The sequence below is a fragment of the Homo sapiens genome, chromosome X (genome assembly GCF_000001405.40).
Source record: "Homo sapiens chromosome X, GRCh38.p14 Primary Assembly".
NCBI classification, from domain to species: Eukaryota; Metazoa; Chordata; class Mammalia; order Primates; family Hominidae; genus Homo; species Homo sapiens.
Window position 1 is genome coordinate 131,463,926 of NC_000023.11, and position 15,689 is coordinate 131,479,614.

General features: G+C 36.7%; 2 annotated features.

Annotated features, from left to right (window-relative positions):
• Positions 13,250-13,827: an enhancer, noted in NCBI's record as "OCT4-NANOG hESC enhancer chrX:130611149-130611726 (GRCh37/hg19 assembly coordinates)". NCBI's record gives its function as "activates a minimal SCP1, AML or CMV promoter by ChIP-STARR-seq in naive and primed H9 embryonic stem cells {active_cell/tissue: H9 hESC(naive and primed)}" and the evidence as "EXISTENCE:reporter gene assay evidence [ECO:0000049][PMID:30033119]".
• Positions 13,828-14,404: an enhancer, noted in NCBI's record as "OCT4-NANOG hESC enhancer chrX:130611727-130612303 (GRCh37/hg19 assembly coordinates)". NCBI's record gives its function as "activates a minimal SCP1, AML or CMV promoter by ChIP-STARR-seq in naive and primed H9 embryonic stem cells {active_cell/tissue: H9 hESC(naive and primed)}" and the evidence as "EXISTENCE:reporter gene assay evidence [ECO:0000049][PMID:30033119]".

The following is a 15,689-nucleotide window of genomic DNA, read 5'->3' on the forward strand; positions in this document are numbered from 1 at the left end:
ATCCTACTCCCTGATAAAACAGACTTTCAACCAACAAAGATCAAAAGACACAAAGAAGGCCATTACATAGTGATAAAGGGATCAATTCAACAAGAAGAACTAACTATCCTAAATAATAATGGAAGACTTTAATACCCCACTGTCAACATTGGACAGAACAACAAGACAGAAAGTTAACAAGGATATCCAGGAATTGAATTCAGCTCTGCACCAAGCAGACCTAATAGACATCTCCAGAACTCTCCACCCCAAATCAACAGAATATACATTCTTCTCAGCACCACATCACACTTATTCCAAAATTGACCACATAGTTGGAAGTAAAGCACTCCTCAGCAAATGTAAAAGAACAGAAATTATAACAAAGTGTCTCTCAGACCACAGTGCAATCAAACTAGAACTCAGGATTAAGAAACTCACTCAAAACTGCACAACTACATGGAAACTGAACAACCTGCTCCTGAATGACTACTGGGTACAAAATGAAATGAAGGCAGAAATAAAGATGTTCTTTGAAAACAATGAGAACAAAGATACAACATACCAGAATCTCTGGGACACATTTAAAGCAGTGTGTAGAGGGAAATTTATAGCACTAAATGCCCACAAGAGAAAGCAGAAAAGATCTAAAACTGACACCCTAACATCACAATTAAAAGAACTAGAGAAGGAAGAGAAACACATTCAAAAGCTAGCAGAAGGCAAGAAATAACAAAGATCAGAGCAGAACTGAAGGAGACAGAGACACAAAGAACCCTTCAAAAAAATCAATGAATCCAGGACCTGGTTTTTTGAAAAGATCAACAAAAGTGATAGACCGCTAGCAAGACTAATAAAGAAGAAAAGAGAAAAATCAAATAGATGCAAAAAAAAAAATGATAAAGGGGATATCACCACCGATCCCACAGAAATACAAACTACCATCCGAGAATACTATAAACACCTCTACAAAAATAAACTAGAAAATCTAGAAGAAATGGATAAGTTCCTGAACACATACACCCTCCCAAGACTAAACCAGGAAGAAGTTGAACGCCTGAATAGACCAATAACAAGTTCTGAAATTGAGGCAATAATTAATAGCTTACCAACCAAAAAAAGTCCAGGACCAGACGGATTCACAGCCGAATTCTACCAGAGGTACAAGGAGGAGCTGGTACCATTCCTTCTGAAATTATTCCAATCAATAGAAAAAGAGGGAATCCTCCCTAACTCATTTTATGAGGCCAGCATCATCCTGATATCAAAGCCTGGCAGAGACACAACAAAAAAAAGAATTTTAGACCAATATCCCTGATGAACATTGATGCAAAAATCCTCAATAAAATACTGGCAAACCAAATCCAGCAGCACATCAAAAAGCTTATCCACCATGATCAAGTGGGCTTCATCCCTGGGATGCAAGGCTGGTTCAACATATGCAAATCAATAAACATAATCCAGCATATAAACAGAACCAAAGACAAAAACCACATGATTATCTCAATAGACGCAGAAAAGGCCTTTGACAAAATTCAACAGCCTTCATGCTAAAAACTCTCAATAAACTCGGCATTGATGGGACGTATCTCAAAATAATAAGAGCTATTTATGACAAACCTACAGCCAATATCATACTGAATGGGCAAAAACTGGGAGCATTCCCTTTGAAAACTGGCACAAGACAGGGATGCCCTCTCTCACCACTCCTGATCAACATAGTGTTGGAAGTTCTGGCCAGGGCAATCAGGCAAGAGAAAGACATAAAGTGTATTCAATTAGGAAAAGAGGTAGTCAAATTGTCCCTGTTTGCAGATGACATGATTGTATATTTAGAAAACCCCATCGTTTCAGCCCAAAATCTCCTTAAGCTGATAAGCAACTTCAGCAAAGTCTCAGCATACACAATCAATGTGCTACAGTAACCAAAATAGCATGGTACTGGTACCAAGACAGAGATATAGCCCAATGGAACATAACAGAGCCCTCAGAAATAAAACTGCATATCTACAACCATCTGATCTTTGACAAACCAGACAAAAATAAGAAATGGGGAAAGGATTACCTATTTAATAAATAGTGCTGGGAAAACTGGCTAGCTATATGTAGAAAGCTGAAACTGGATCCCTTCCTTACACTTTATACAAAAATTAATTCAAGATGGATTAAGGACTTAAATGTTAGACCTAAAACCTTAAAAACCCTAGAAGAGCACCACTGCACACCAGCTTGGGTGATAGGGCCAGACTCTGTCTCAAAAAAACAAACAAACAAACAAAAAAAAACCCCTAGAAGAAAATCTAGGCAATACCATTCAGGACATAGGCATGGGCAAAGACTTCATGACTATAATACCAAAAGCAATGGCAACAAAAGCCAAAATTGACAAATGGGATCTAATCAAACTAAAGAGCTTCTGCACAGCAAAAGAAACTACCATCAGAGTGAACAGGCAGCTTACAGAATGGCAGAAAATTTTTGCAATCTACCCAACTGATAAAGGGCTAATATCCAGAATCTACAAAGAGCTTAAACAAATTTACAAGAAAAAAACAAACAACCCCATCAAAAAGTGGGCAAAGGATATGAACAGACACTTCTCAAAAGAAGACATTTATGCAGCCAACAGACACATGAAAAAATGCTCATCATCACTAGCCTTCAGAGAAATGCAAATCAAAACAACACTGAGATACCATCTCACACCAGTTAGAATGGCGATCATTAAAAAGTCCGGAAACAACAGGTGCTGGAGAGGATGTGGAGAAACAGGAACACTTTTACACTGTTGGTGGGACTGTAAACTAGTTCAACCATTGTGGAAGTCGGTGTGGTGATTCCTCAAGGATCTAGAACTAGAAATACCATTTGACCCAGCCATCCCATTGCTGGGTATATACCCAAAGGATTATAAATCGTGCTACTATAAAGACACATGCACACGTATGTTTATTGCAGCAGTATTCACAATAGCAAAGACTTGGAACCAACCCAGATGTCCATCAATGATAGACTGGATAAAGAAAATGTGGCACATATAACCATGGAATAGTATGCAAACATAAAAAAGTATGAGTTCATGTCCTTTGTAAGGACGTAGATGAAGCTGGAAACCACCATTCTCAGCAAACTATCGCCAAGGGCAGAAAGCCACACACCGCATTTTCTCACTCATAGTTGGGAATTGAAAAATGAGAACACTGGGACACAGGGCCAGCAATATCACATACCGGGGCCTGTTGTGGGTTGGGAGAAGTGGGAGTGTAACAAACCTGCATGTTGTGCACATGTACCCTAGAACTTAAGGTATAATAATAATAATAAAAAGACTCAATTCTACGTATAGCTTATCTTGGGCTAGGTGGAATCTGTCATTTACAGAGTGATCATCCTCATCATGAGTCCTATTATCCATAGCTCAAGAAACCAGGAGGTGTAATGGTTACTAGACAGGGTCCTGTGTAAATTTTCATCACCTCAAGAATGACTAAATATAGCTGGTTGTTTACTCTTCTAATTTTAATTCTGTTGGTTTAAAACGTGAGGAGAAAGCCTCCACACAGCACATTCAATGTGCTCTGGTGTATGGCCACAGACTCCCTTGATTTTAGATTATTCAATCCTCTTAATTTACACTGTATTGGTAGTACTCTTTCATGTTGTACAAAGGATTTTATAGTTCCAATTTTGAAAAGCACCTAATGAAAATTCTTAACTCCAAACTATTTAAATATTACTCTGAATAATGGTCTCGAATACTTGCAATTTGTTTACTCTTACAATTGTACTACTAAAGTCTCATTTTTGAACTCAGAATATAGACTATTAAATTATTTTAAACAGGCAACTTCATTACTCCACCCAAATGATAGACCTTATTAACCATCCATCATTAATGCATGCCAGTCTCCTTGACAAAATGCAAATCTTGGATTCTCAAGCAAATGTTTACAAGATGGGCAGGTAGGATCTCAGAATGGCAATATGCTAATGAGAAATTTTATATTTCTATCATCTTGTAGGATTATCCACTGGGAAAATCATAAGATCATTTGTATCTCTTATTGACTATTATTTGATATTTGATGTATGGAAACAAGTTGTATGAGTATATGAATACAGTATGGAATGCTGGCTAGTGATTCTTATATAGAACCTCTACTGTAGTACCACGAAGAGTCATTAGATACACAGTTTTTAAAGAGATACAGAACAATTTTGAATAAAGTGGCATGTGTTTTGGCCACTCTTTCTTTTAAAATTTGTTTTGATGACTGGAGACCACTTTGGACAATTTGGATTCACAAACTCTGTCATAAAAAAAGAAGGATAAACATTCTTCTATATGCAGATGATTTGATTTTACTGCAGAAAACTAAGATTAATTTCAAAAGACACTGTCCCTGCCGTCTAAATACTGTCAGTGCTAATGGCTTCAGATCAGCTCTCCCAAAATCCAAACCATTATTTTTAGTAGAAATCTTCCAATATTTAAGCGGCTTATGAATAACAGCCTTATACAGCATGACCATGTATTTGGTTATGACTATGTATTAGTTACATTGTAATCATTGGCATATGTATTCTCTCTGTAAATTCACCAAGAAATTACATTGTTTTGCTTTTGCGTTAAATGAGATGTTCTATAATTGCTTTGTTGAGGTTTTTTTAAAATTACTATAGTGGGTAATTAGTAATACTTGCTTTAGAAATATTGAACACTAGAATAATTGCAGATATGCCATATAAGTGTTGTTTTTAAATTATATGTTTTTAAATTAATAGACTATTTTTAAGAACAGTTTTAGGTTTACAGAAACAATTGAACAGAAAGTACAGAGAGTTCCCATATACTTCCCTAGCCCCCTGAGATAATTTCCCCTATTAGCATTTTGCATTAGTATGGTACATCTGTTATAATTGATATATAAATATGGATGCAGTATTAACTAAAGTTCATAGTTAGCATTAGAGTTACTCTTAGTGTTGTACATTCTACGGATCTTGACAAATGTATACTGATATGTATCCACAATTACAGTATAACACAGAATAGTTTTATTGCCCTAAAAAATCCTCCTTACTCCATCTGTTTATTCCTCCACCCCTTTCCTCCAAAGCCTGGCAACCACTTATATTTTTACTGTTTTCATCCTTTTCCCTTTCCAATAGTGCTGTATAGTTGGAATCATAGTGTGTTGCCTTTTCAGATTGATTTCTTTGACTTAACAATACGTTCTTAACATTCATCTACGTTCTTTAGTAGCTTGGCATCTTGTTTCTTTTTATTGCTGAATAATATTCTATGGTATGTATGTATCACAGTTTGTTTATCCACTCAACTATTGATATTGAAAGGCATCTTGGTTGCTTTCAAGTTTTGGCAATTATGAATAAACATGCTGTAAAGATTTGTGTGCAGGTTTTTGTGTAAGCAGTTTTCTTCTTTTTTTAAAATTGTATAAATGTAAGGGGAACAAGTTCAACAACTAATTTTGGTAAGTACTAAGAGATACAATTGCTGGATCATATGGTTAAGAATACATTCAATTTTGTAAGAAACTGCCAAACTGTTTGCCAGAGTGACTATACCATTTTGTATTCCCAGTCAGAGTTACTGTTGTTCCACATCCTCATCAGCATTCAGTATTGTGTTATAAATTTTAGCTATTTTAATATCTGTATAATAAGTATCTCATTTTAAATTGCAATTCCCTGATGACTTGATATTGAGCATCTTTTCATATGCTTGTTATTTGTGTATCTTTTTTACTTTCGTTTTTTAATTTTAATTTTCTAACTTTTAATTAAAAATAAAAATTGTATATATTGTATATGGGTTACAACGTGATGTTTTGATGTATATTTACATTATAGAATGACTAAATCAAGCTAGTTGACAAATCCATCACCTTACATACTTCTCATTTTTTTCATAATGGAAACATTTAAAATTTACTTTTAGCAGTTTTAAAATATACAAATGCATTATTATTTATTATAATCACCATTCCGTATGATAGATCACTAAAGCTTATTCCTCCTGTCTAACTGAAATTCTGTACCCTTTGATCAACACATCTCCTTTCCTCGCCTATTGCCCTCTCTCAGCCTCTGGTAATCATCATTCTACCCTTTCTTTCTATGAGTTTCACTTTTTTAGATTGCACATTTAAATGAGATCATGTGGTATTTTTATTTCTGTGCCTAGCTTATTTAGTGTAACATAATATTCTCTAGTTTCATCTATGTTGTCGCAAATGACAGGACTTCATTCTTAAGGCTGAATAGTATTCCATTGTCTATATATGCTATATTTTCTTTATCCATTCATCTGATGACAGACACCTAGGTTGATTCCTTATTTTAGCTATTGTGAATAATGTAATGAACATGGGGTTGCACATATCTCTTTGACATACTGATTTTATATTTTTGGGATATGTACCTAAAAGTGAGATTTCTGGATCATATGGTAATTGTATTTTTAATTTTTTTGAGAATCTTCATAGTGTTTTTCATAATGACTGTATTGATTTACATTCCCACCAACAGTGCACAAGTGTTCCCTTTTCTCTACACCCTCACCGGCACTTGTTATGTCCAGTCTTTATGATAATAGCCATTATAACAGGTGTGAGGTGATATCTCATTGTGGTTTTAATTTGCATTTCACAGATGATTAATGATGATGAGTATTTCTTCATGTACCTATTGGCCATTTGTATGGCCTCTTTTGGGAATTGCCTACTTAGGTCATTTGCCCATTTTTAAATTATGTTATTTCTTGTTGTTTGCTATTGAGTTGAGTTTCTTATATAATTTTAATATTAGCTTTTTATCATATATATGGTTTGCAAATATTTTCTTTCAATCTGTGGGTTTTCTCGTCACTCCTTTTTTTTGCTGTGCTGAAGCTTTTTAGCCTGATGTAATTTCATTCATTTAATTTTGATTTTGTTGCCTGTGCTGTGTATCTTTTAAGGTGAGGTATCTGTGCAGATCTGTGTTTTTAAAATTTCATTGGTTGTATTCTTATTGTTGAGTTTTAAGATGTCTTTGTATGTTTTGAATACCAACTCTTTTTTTTTATACTTTAAGTTCTAGGGTACATGTGCACAACGTGCAGGTTTGTTATATATGTATACATGTGCCATGTTGGTGTGCTGCACCCATTAACTCGTCATTTAGCATTAGGTATATCTCCTAATGCTATCCCTCTCCCCTCCCCCCACCCCACAACAGGCCCTGGTGTGTGATGTTCCCCTTCCTGTGTCCAAGTGTTCTCATTGGTCAATTCCCACCTATGAGTGAGAACATGCAGTGTTTGGTTTTTTGTCCTCGCGATAGTTTGCTGAGAATGATGGTTTCCAGCTTTATCCATGTCCCTACAAAGGACATGAACTCATCATTTTTTATGGCTGCATAGTATTCCATGGTGTATATGTGCCACATTTTCTTAATCCAGTCTATCATTGTTGGACATTTGGGTTGGTTCCAAGTCTTTGCTATTGTGAATAGTGCCGCAATGAACATACGTGTGCATGTGTCTTTATAGCAGCATGATTTCACTCTGCTGGTAGTTTCCTTTGCTGTGCAGAAGCTCTTTAGTTTGATTAGATCCCATTGGTCAATTTTGGCTTTTGTTGCCATTGTTTTGGTGTTTTAGACATGAAGTCCTTGCCCATGCCTATGTCCTGAATGGTATTACCTAGGTTTTCTTCTGCGGTTTTTATGGTTTTAGGTCTAACATTTAAGTCTTTAATCGATCTTGAATTAATTTTTGTATAAGGTGTAAGGAAGGGATCCAGTTTCAGCTTTCTACATATGGCTAGCCAGTTTTCCCAGCACCATTTATTAAATAGGGAATCCTTTCCCCATTGCTTGTTTTTGTCAGGTTTGTCAAAGATCAGATGGCTGTAGATGTGTGGTATTATTTCTGAGGGCTCTGTTCTGTTCCAATGGTCTATATATCTGTCTTGGTACCAGTACCATGCTGTTTTGGTTACTGTAGCCTTATAGTATAGTTTGAAGTCAGGCAGCATGATGCCTCCAGCTTTGTTCTTCTGGCTTAGGATTGACTTGGCAATGCAGGCTCTTTTTTGGTTCCATATGAACTTTAAAGTAGTTTTTTCCAATTCTGTGAAGAAAGTCATTGGTAGCTTGATGGGGATGGCATTGAATCTATAAATTACCTTGGGCAGTATGTGTCCTCTTTTATTTCACTGAGCAGTGGTTTGTAGTTCTCCTTGAAGAGGTCCTTCACATCCCTTGTAATTTGGGTTCCTAGGTATTTTATTCTCTTTGAAGCAATTGTGAATGGGAGTTCACACATGATTTGGCTCTCTGTTTGTCTGTTATTGGTGTATAGGAATGCTTGTGATTTTTGCACACGGATTTTGTATCCTGAGACTTTCCTGAAGTTGCTTATCAGCTTAACGAGACTTGGTGCTGAGATGATGGGGATTTCTAAATATATAATCATGTCATCTGCAAACAGGGACAATTTGACTTCCTCTTTTCCTAATTGAATACCCTTTATTTCTTTCTCTTGCCTGATTGCCCTGGCCAGAACTTCCAACACTATGTTGAATAGGAGTAGTGAGAGAGGGCATCCCTGTCTTGTGCCAGTTTTCAAAGGGAATGCTTCCAGGTTTTGCCCATTCAGTATGATATTGGCTGTGGGTTTGTCATAGATAGCTCTCATTATTTTGAGATGCGTTCCATCAAAACCTAGTTTATTGACAGTTTTTAGCATGAAGGGCTGTTGAATTTTATTGAAGGCCTTTTCTGCATCTATTGAGATAATCATGTGGTTTTTGTCTTTGGTTCTGTTTATGTTATGGATTACATTTATTGATTTGCGTATGTTGAATCAGCCTTGCATCCCAGGGATGAAACCCACTTGATCATGGTGGACAAGCTTTTTAATGTGCTGCTGGATTTGGTTTGCCAGTATTTTATTGAGGATTTTCACATCAATGTTCATCAGGGATATCGGTCTAAAATTCTCTTTTTTTGTTGTGTCTCTGCCAGGCTTTGGGATCAGGATGATGCTGGCCTCATAAAATGAGTTAGGGATGATTCCCTCTTTTTCTATTGATTGGAATAGTTTCAGAAGGAATGGTACCAGCTTCTCTTTGTACCTCTGGTAGAATTCGGCTGTGAATCCATCTGGCCCTAGACTTTTTTTCGTTGGTAGGCTATTAATTATTGCCTCAATTTCAGAACTTGTTATTGGTCTATTCAGGTATTCAACTTCTTCCTGGTTTAGTCTTGGGAGGGTGTATGTGTCTAGGAATTTATCTATTTCTTCTAGATTTTCTAATTTATTTTTGTAGAGGTGTTTATAGTATTCTCCGATGGTAGTTTGTATTTCTGTGGGATCGGTGGTGATATCCCCTTTATCTTTTTTATTGCATTTATTTGATTCTTCTCTCTCTTCTTCTTTATTAATCTTGCTAGTGGTCTATTTTGTTTATCTTTTCGAAAAACCAGCTCCTGGATTCATTGATTTTATGAAGGGTTTTTGTGTCTGTGTCTCCTTCAGTTCTGCTCTGATCTTAGTTATTTCTTGCCTTCTGCTAGCTTTTAAATTTGTTTGCTCTTGCTTCTCTAGTTCTTTTAATTGTGATGTTAGGGTGTCGATTTTAGATTTTTCCTGCTTTCTCTTGTGGGCATTTAGTGCTATAAATTTCCCTCTACACACTGCTTTAAATGTGTCCCAGAGATTCTGGTATGTTGTATCTTTGTTCTCATTGTTTTCAAAGAACATCTTTATTTCTGCCTTCATTTCATTTTTTATCCAGTAGTCACTGAGGAGCAGGTTGTTCAGTTTCCATGTAGTTGTGCAGTTTTGAGTGAGTTTCTTAATCCTGAGTTCTAATTTGATTGCACTGTGGTCTGAGAGACAGTTTGTTGTGATTTCTGTTCTTTTACATTTGCTGAGGAGTGCTTTACTTCCAACTATGTGGTCAATTTTGGAATAAGTGTGATGTGGTGCTGAGAAGAATGTATATTCTGTTGATTTGGTGTGGAGAGTTCTGTAGGTGTCTATTAGGTCCGAGTCTTAAATATGTATGTGTGCCATTAAAAAATTGCTGACAGTAGCAAATTATAATGGACAGATAGAGAAGTCTTTGTGCTTCCCTTCAGCTAACTAAATCTTTATATTGACCACAATGATAAAATTATGGGGACCAGGACTATGATCAGGAAGCTGAGATGGAGATCAGAAACTCACAAATGTGCAGGATAAATCTAAGAGCAAGAGAAGATCAGAGAAGTTGTTCACCACATTGGATCTGCCAAAGAAGAGCTAAGACATAGTGTTTGATGTTGTTATTGAAATACATACTCTCTTATTGTAATGAGCCGTCAGAATTGAAATTAAAAGCTTTTAATGTGAGAATTGGGTAGAGAATGGGTTACAAATAATAATATAGCAATGGCAGATCCTGGAGGCCAAAAGCTAAAATTCTGCAGTAACAACAAAAATGAACAAACTGAGTTTTGACCCATAACAAAGCAATGAGATAACCTTAAGCAGAAATAGAATGTTTACTGTCCTCCTTAGGAAAATTCTTGAGGAATAATACATGCAGGAAGAGACAAACAGGAGTTTCTATGTCTTGGATATGTCAGAAATTCCTGAAAGTACCAAATTTCTTTTACTCCTTCCTATCAGGTCAGGATGCTGTGTCAGACAAAAAAAAAAAGATTGTCATTCTCATCAATAATAATAAGATGAGAATGTAGGCACTCAAATCAGCCAGGTGAATATATAATTTCTACTTTCTCTACCTTCTAAGTGTGGTCTGTGGTTATCTCATCTGCAGAATGAGTTTGACAGGTTACGGTAAAAATTAAATGAGATAATATATGCAATATTCTTTGAGTATTGCCTGGCACAAAGTAAGTTCCAAACCAGTTTCTGTGAAAAAAATTTATCAGCATCATTTTATTAACATGGTTTTCTTAATAATAATAAAAAAAAGCAGAGAAGCACTCAATGACCAAAAATGGACCCTGTAAAAAGGGTGTGAAGTCTCTTGCCCTCAAAGAGGTTCTAGGTTAAGACACTATCACACTGATACACAGAACCTTAAGGAAGATTGACACCAGAAATTACCATCAAGTGCAGTTTTTCAAAGAAACTAGGCTACCAGCACAGTGACTCTTGCAATGCCTTTAACCTGTGCTTCTAGGTGAAGTTAACTACCTTGTATTATTAGACCTTTATGCCCTATTAGAACTGTCTTGGTGAGAGGCAAAATACAGCTTTTGGTGTACTGCAGCAAAGTGTAATGGATGACATACAAAAACTGCGCTTAGAAGCTAGGAGACAATGAGGGAATAGTAGATTGTAGAACTAATAACAAATAGCTCCTCCTAGTAGTTAACTCTTCCACTGTGTTTATTCCATACCACTAGCTGTTAATATCACTAGATGATTTTAACGAATACTTTGATAAACGTTCGTTGATATTGAAGGTGTCTCTTTGCAGAAACATAGCAAGTCCTCTTCCCTGCTGCTATTCATTTGCATTTATAATGCATTAATTGAATATTTATTTTTGTAAACCACTTGGCTAGGCACTGTGGCAGGTTATGGGAAGAACATGACATTGATCCTGACTTTAAGGGCCTGAGAATTAATAAGGGGAGGTAAGACATGAGTGCAAAGCTCACCAGGTCAGAGTAAAGAATGGAGAGGTTCTAATAATGCGGCTGAAGCACATGGTGAATGATGAGAAAGGACGAAAGGGATTTAGAAGTCCTTGAAGGGAGTTAATATTTGCATTTGTGATTATTTGAGAGGAGTGCTTTAGACATGAAGAAAAACACTGCAGCAGTAAATTTTAGGAAATGTTTGGAAAATAAGAAAATAATCTCATAAGGTTGAAAGGGCAGGTGGGAAGAGACTCTGAGTGACATGTCAAAGGTTGCTTTTAAAAACATGTCAGAGGCTCCTGAATGTCATGACAAAGAATTTAAAAATGTTTTTGTAGGCAACAAGTAGCCAGAGAAGATTTCTGAGCAGAAAATTGTACAGCCAGACATATGCTTTAGGAAAGCTAACATACTAATAACAAGTAGAATGGATTGGGAGCCAGAAAGTCTGGAGGCAAAAACAAACAAACAAAAACAAAAAGCAAAACACAAATTGCATGATGACTTCAACAGTCTGATGAAAGCTTACTAGACTGTGAACAAGGAGATTAGAAGTAGGAAAAGAAAGGAGATGACAAAGTCAAGAGATGTTGAAAATGTGTAATTGCTAGGCTTTCATGATGGATGGGATGTGAGGAACATGAGAGATGGAAGTGACAAATATGACTGTCATATTCAGTCTGGCTGACTGGAAAGATTGAAATATCATTAATGGAGACAAGGAACACAAGAAGAAGAAAAGGAATGGAGGTGTTGATGATGTGTTTGATTTTTAAAAACAGCTCTGAAGAGGAGGACTTCTCAAACTTTAAGGTACATGCGAATTACATGAGGATTTTGCTAAAATGAAGATTGATTCACTAGGTGAGGAGCAGAGTTTGAGATTCTACATTTATAACAAGCTTACAAGAAAAGTCAATATCACTGGGCCTCAGATCACACTTTAAAGCAGCAAGGCTGCAGAGGATAGCAGGCTCAATAGTCAGGGAGAATTTTGGTAGAATAAGGCAGGCCTGCCCAGTAGAAGTGCCAAGAAATATGTTTGAGCAAAATACTAATTTAAAAATCTATATAAAAGGAAAAAACATACTTTAGGCCAAATACATTTTTTAATTAGCACATTTAGTTTTAAAGTACTTGTAACTGTTTTGCTACTTATTCAAAGTATCCATATGCATGTATGCATACTCATTCTTCAGCTTCACACATACAACAAACATATACAATTTTTTACTCATTACATAATTTTATTTCATAGAAATTCCTAATAAACACCTAAGTGTCTTGGGGAAAGCCAATATCTACGCTGACAAATTAAGATGGAGAACTAAGAAATTAATCCTTTTTTATCATATCATTTTTACATAAAGGACTCACAAAACGGACTCTAAGTTGCTCTCTCCATCCCCACACATTCAGAATAAATGTAATCATATGGACAAATAATTCTTTCATCTTGTAATTCTAAGACTGAAATGTGAATTACCTTTATATGGTACCTCATCACTAGTCAGTAAGTGAACATTTTGGTCAGATACAATATTTAGCATGATGTAATACAAATTAAATATTTCATTAATTTTATATCTTCTCTAAAGAATTTGGCTAATTCGACCCATATCTGGAGATGCAGATGGATCTTATTTAATAGGCAGGGAAGGTACATTGATATAACATTAATACTTGACTGTGTACAACTTCTCAGGGAAGTTACGCATTTACTTTTAACCAAGAAGTTGGTTTCTCTATTGTTGAAAAGAAAGAACATCAAAACAGCCAAGATACCTGCTGTGGAAATGTCTCTTTCATTGGTCTCTGAAATCTCTATTTTACGCTGACTTTCATAAGAAGTATCTAGTCTTCCCTACTCGGTCACCTGGGAAGCTGTGATGTTAACTGCCAAAGACCCGTGTGACAAAAAAAAAAAGAAAAGAAAAGAAAAATACTGAAACTAAAGGACAAGAAGAGGCTCCACATGAATCAGCAAGCAGGGTCAGTGTGAGTCCCATCCCAGGTGTGCCTTGTGAATTTGTAAGAGGAAATACAGAGCCTTGCAGGTGGCATTTCCCCTGGCAATTAGTTTTCAAAAGGTCCCCTGCAAATTCTCAGCAGGAATGATGAGCCTATTTCCAAAGCCCTTTCCAACAACCTTCAGATTTCCGGCATTCAGATTGCACTTAAAAATAACAATCAACTTGCCAATCTTTTTTAGCAGCCTTCTAAATAGGTTGCTGTTCAAAGAAATAATGGGAGAGGCAGGGTGAGAAAACAGCAGGCACTTGATAAAGGCTACTATGAATGAGTGAGTGAAATGAATGAATGTATAAGGGCATGAATGAAAAGCCTACAAATGCCATTCTAAATCTGTAAATGATCAGAAAAGTATTTTTCCTAAGGGAATTATTTCATCTCAATTTGGAAATACTAGTTTCTGGACTCAGAGAGTGCATATAATCTATTTTCTCTTACAGTTGATTTGCATTTATAAAAGTAGGGTGTTTTTTTTTTTTTTTCAGACAAAGCACATTATAAGAAAAAGAAAAAAAACTGATAACTTTGTTATGTCCTCAGTCTAAGCCTTTGAATCTCTTTGGTTGAAATGAGAAACCTGTTCCTGCTGGCTTTCATCCAGTGTTGCAGCATTTCAAGGAAGTTTCAGCTGCATTAGACTTGCTCTCAACCCATTAAAACCCATAAAACCTAGGGGGAGTTCAGAGGGACCCAAAATAGGAAGAAGAATAGGTCCTCCTCTGCTGCTGTCCAAACCCATTTCCCACAGTCAGTATGATTTACACAAAGTCAATTTGTTTTCTTTTTTACCTTTTAAAAGGAACTTTATTTTATATTTTATTACCTATATTTAATGTGTAAAACATGGTTTTTGAATATCTGTATATATATATAGTAAGATGATTACTACCATCAAAAAGATTTTCATATCTATCTCCTCTCATAGTTATCCCTTTTTTGTGGTTAGTGATATGGTTTGGCTATGTCCCCACCCAAACCTCATCTTGAATTGTAGCTCCCACAATTCCCATGTATTGTGAGAGGGAGCCAGTGAGAGGTAATTGAATCAAGGGGGTGAGTCTTTCCCATGCTATTCTCGTGATCATGAATAAGTCTCATGAGATCTGATGGTTTGATAAAGGGGAGTTTCCCTGCACAAGCTCTCTTCTCTTGTCTGCCACCATGTGAGACGTGCCTTCAGTTTCAGCCATGATTGTGAGGCCTCCCCAGCCACATGGAGTCATGAGGCCATTAAACCTCCTTCTTTTGTAAATTGCCCAATCTCGGGTATGTCTTTATCAGCAGTGTGAAAATGGACTAATATGCTAAGGATACCTAAAATCCAAAAAAAAATGGCAGATAGGAGGCAGGACAAAATGACAGCTCCCACTCACACAGACAGAGCAGTGTGTGGAGACTCACATCATAAACTTTTGCTCCAAGAACTACTGCAGGAATATATCAGGAAAGCCAAGAGAATCCATGGATCCTATGAAGGAGGCAGATTGCTCCCACAGAACCTGGGAGACAGCACAAATACTGTGAATTCCCAAACTGTGAAAGTGGGAAAGGGGGATCATCCACCCCTGAACACACACCATCACTGAAGGTGCAGATCACAGGAGAAGGATTTGACCTTACCTGGAGCTAAGATAATTTAGAGAGCTGAGTGAAATACAGGGGTAGAGGAAGAAGCAGGAAAAGACCTGTAGGTACTCTTGGTCCCCAGGGAAGCCATTTCTGACTTGTCTCTCAGGGGTCCTTGGGGAAGGCTGCCAGAGGAACTGGGAAAAGACCACAAGGAGAAGGAAACCTCCAGCTGAATTGTGTAACAATTCCAAGTGAACATGAAGTTTCCTGACCAGAACTTGGGAGAGGGCATGAATATGGTGTGCAGACTCGACAGGCAGGGAGGTGCGAAAGCCCTGCTTGCTTTCTCAGCTTGGAGGCTGGTATCCTGGGGCAAGTTCTCAGCCCTGCCTACCCACTGCCTGGAAACAAACTCGGTGCTGTTAGGGGGGTGTAGG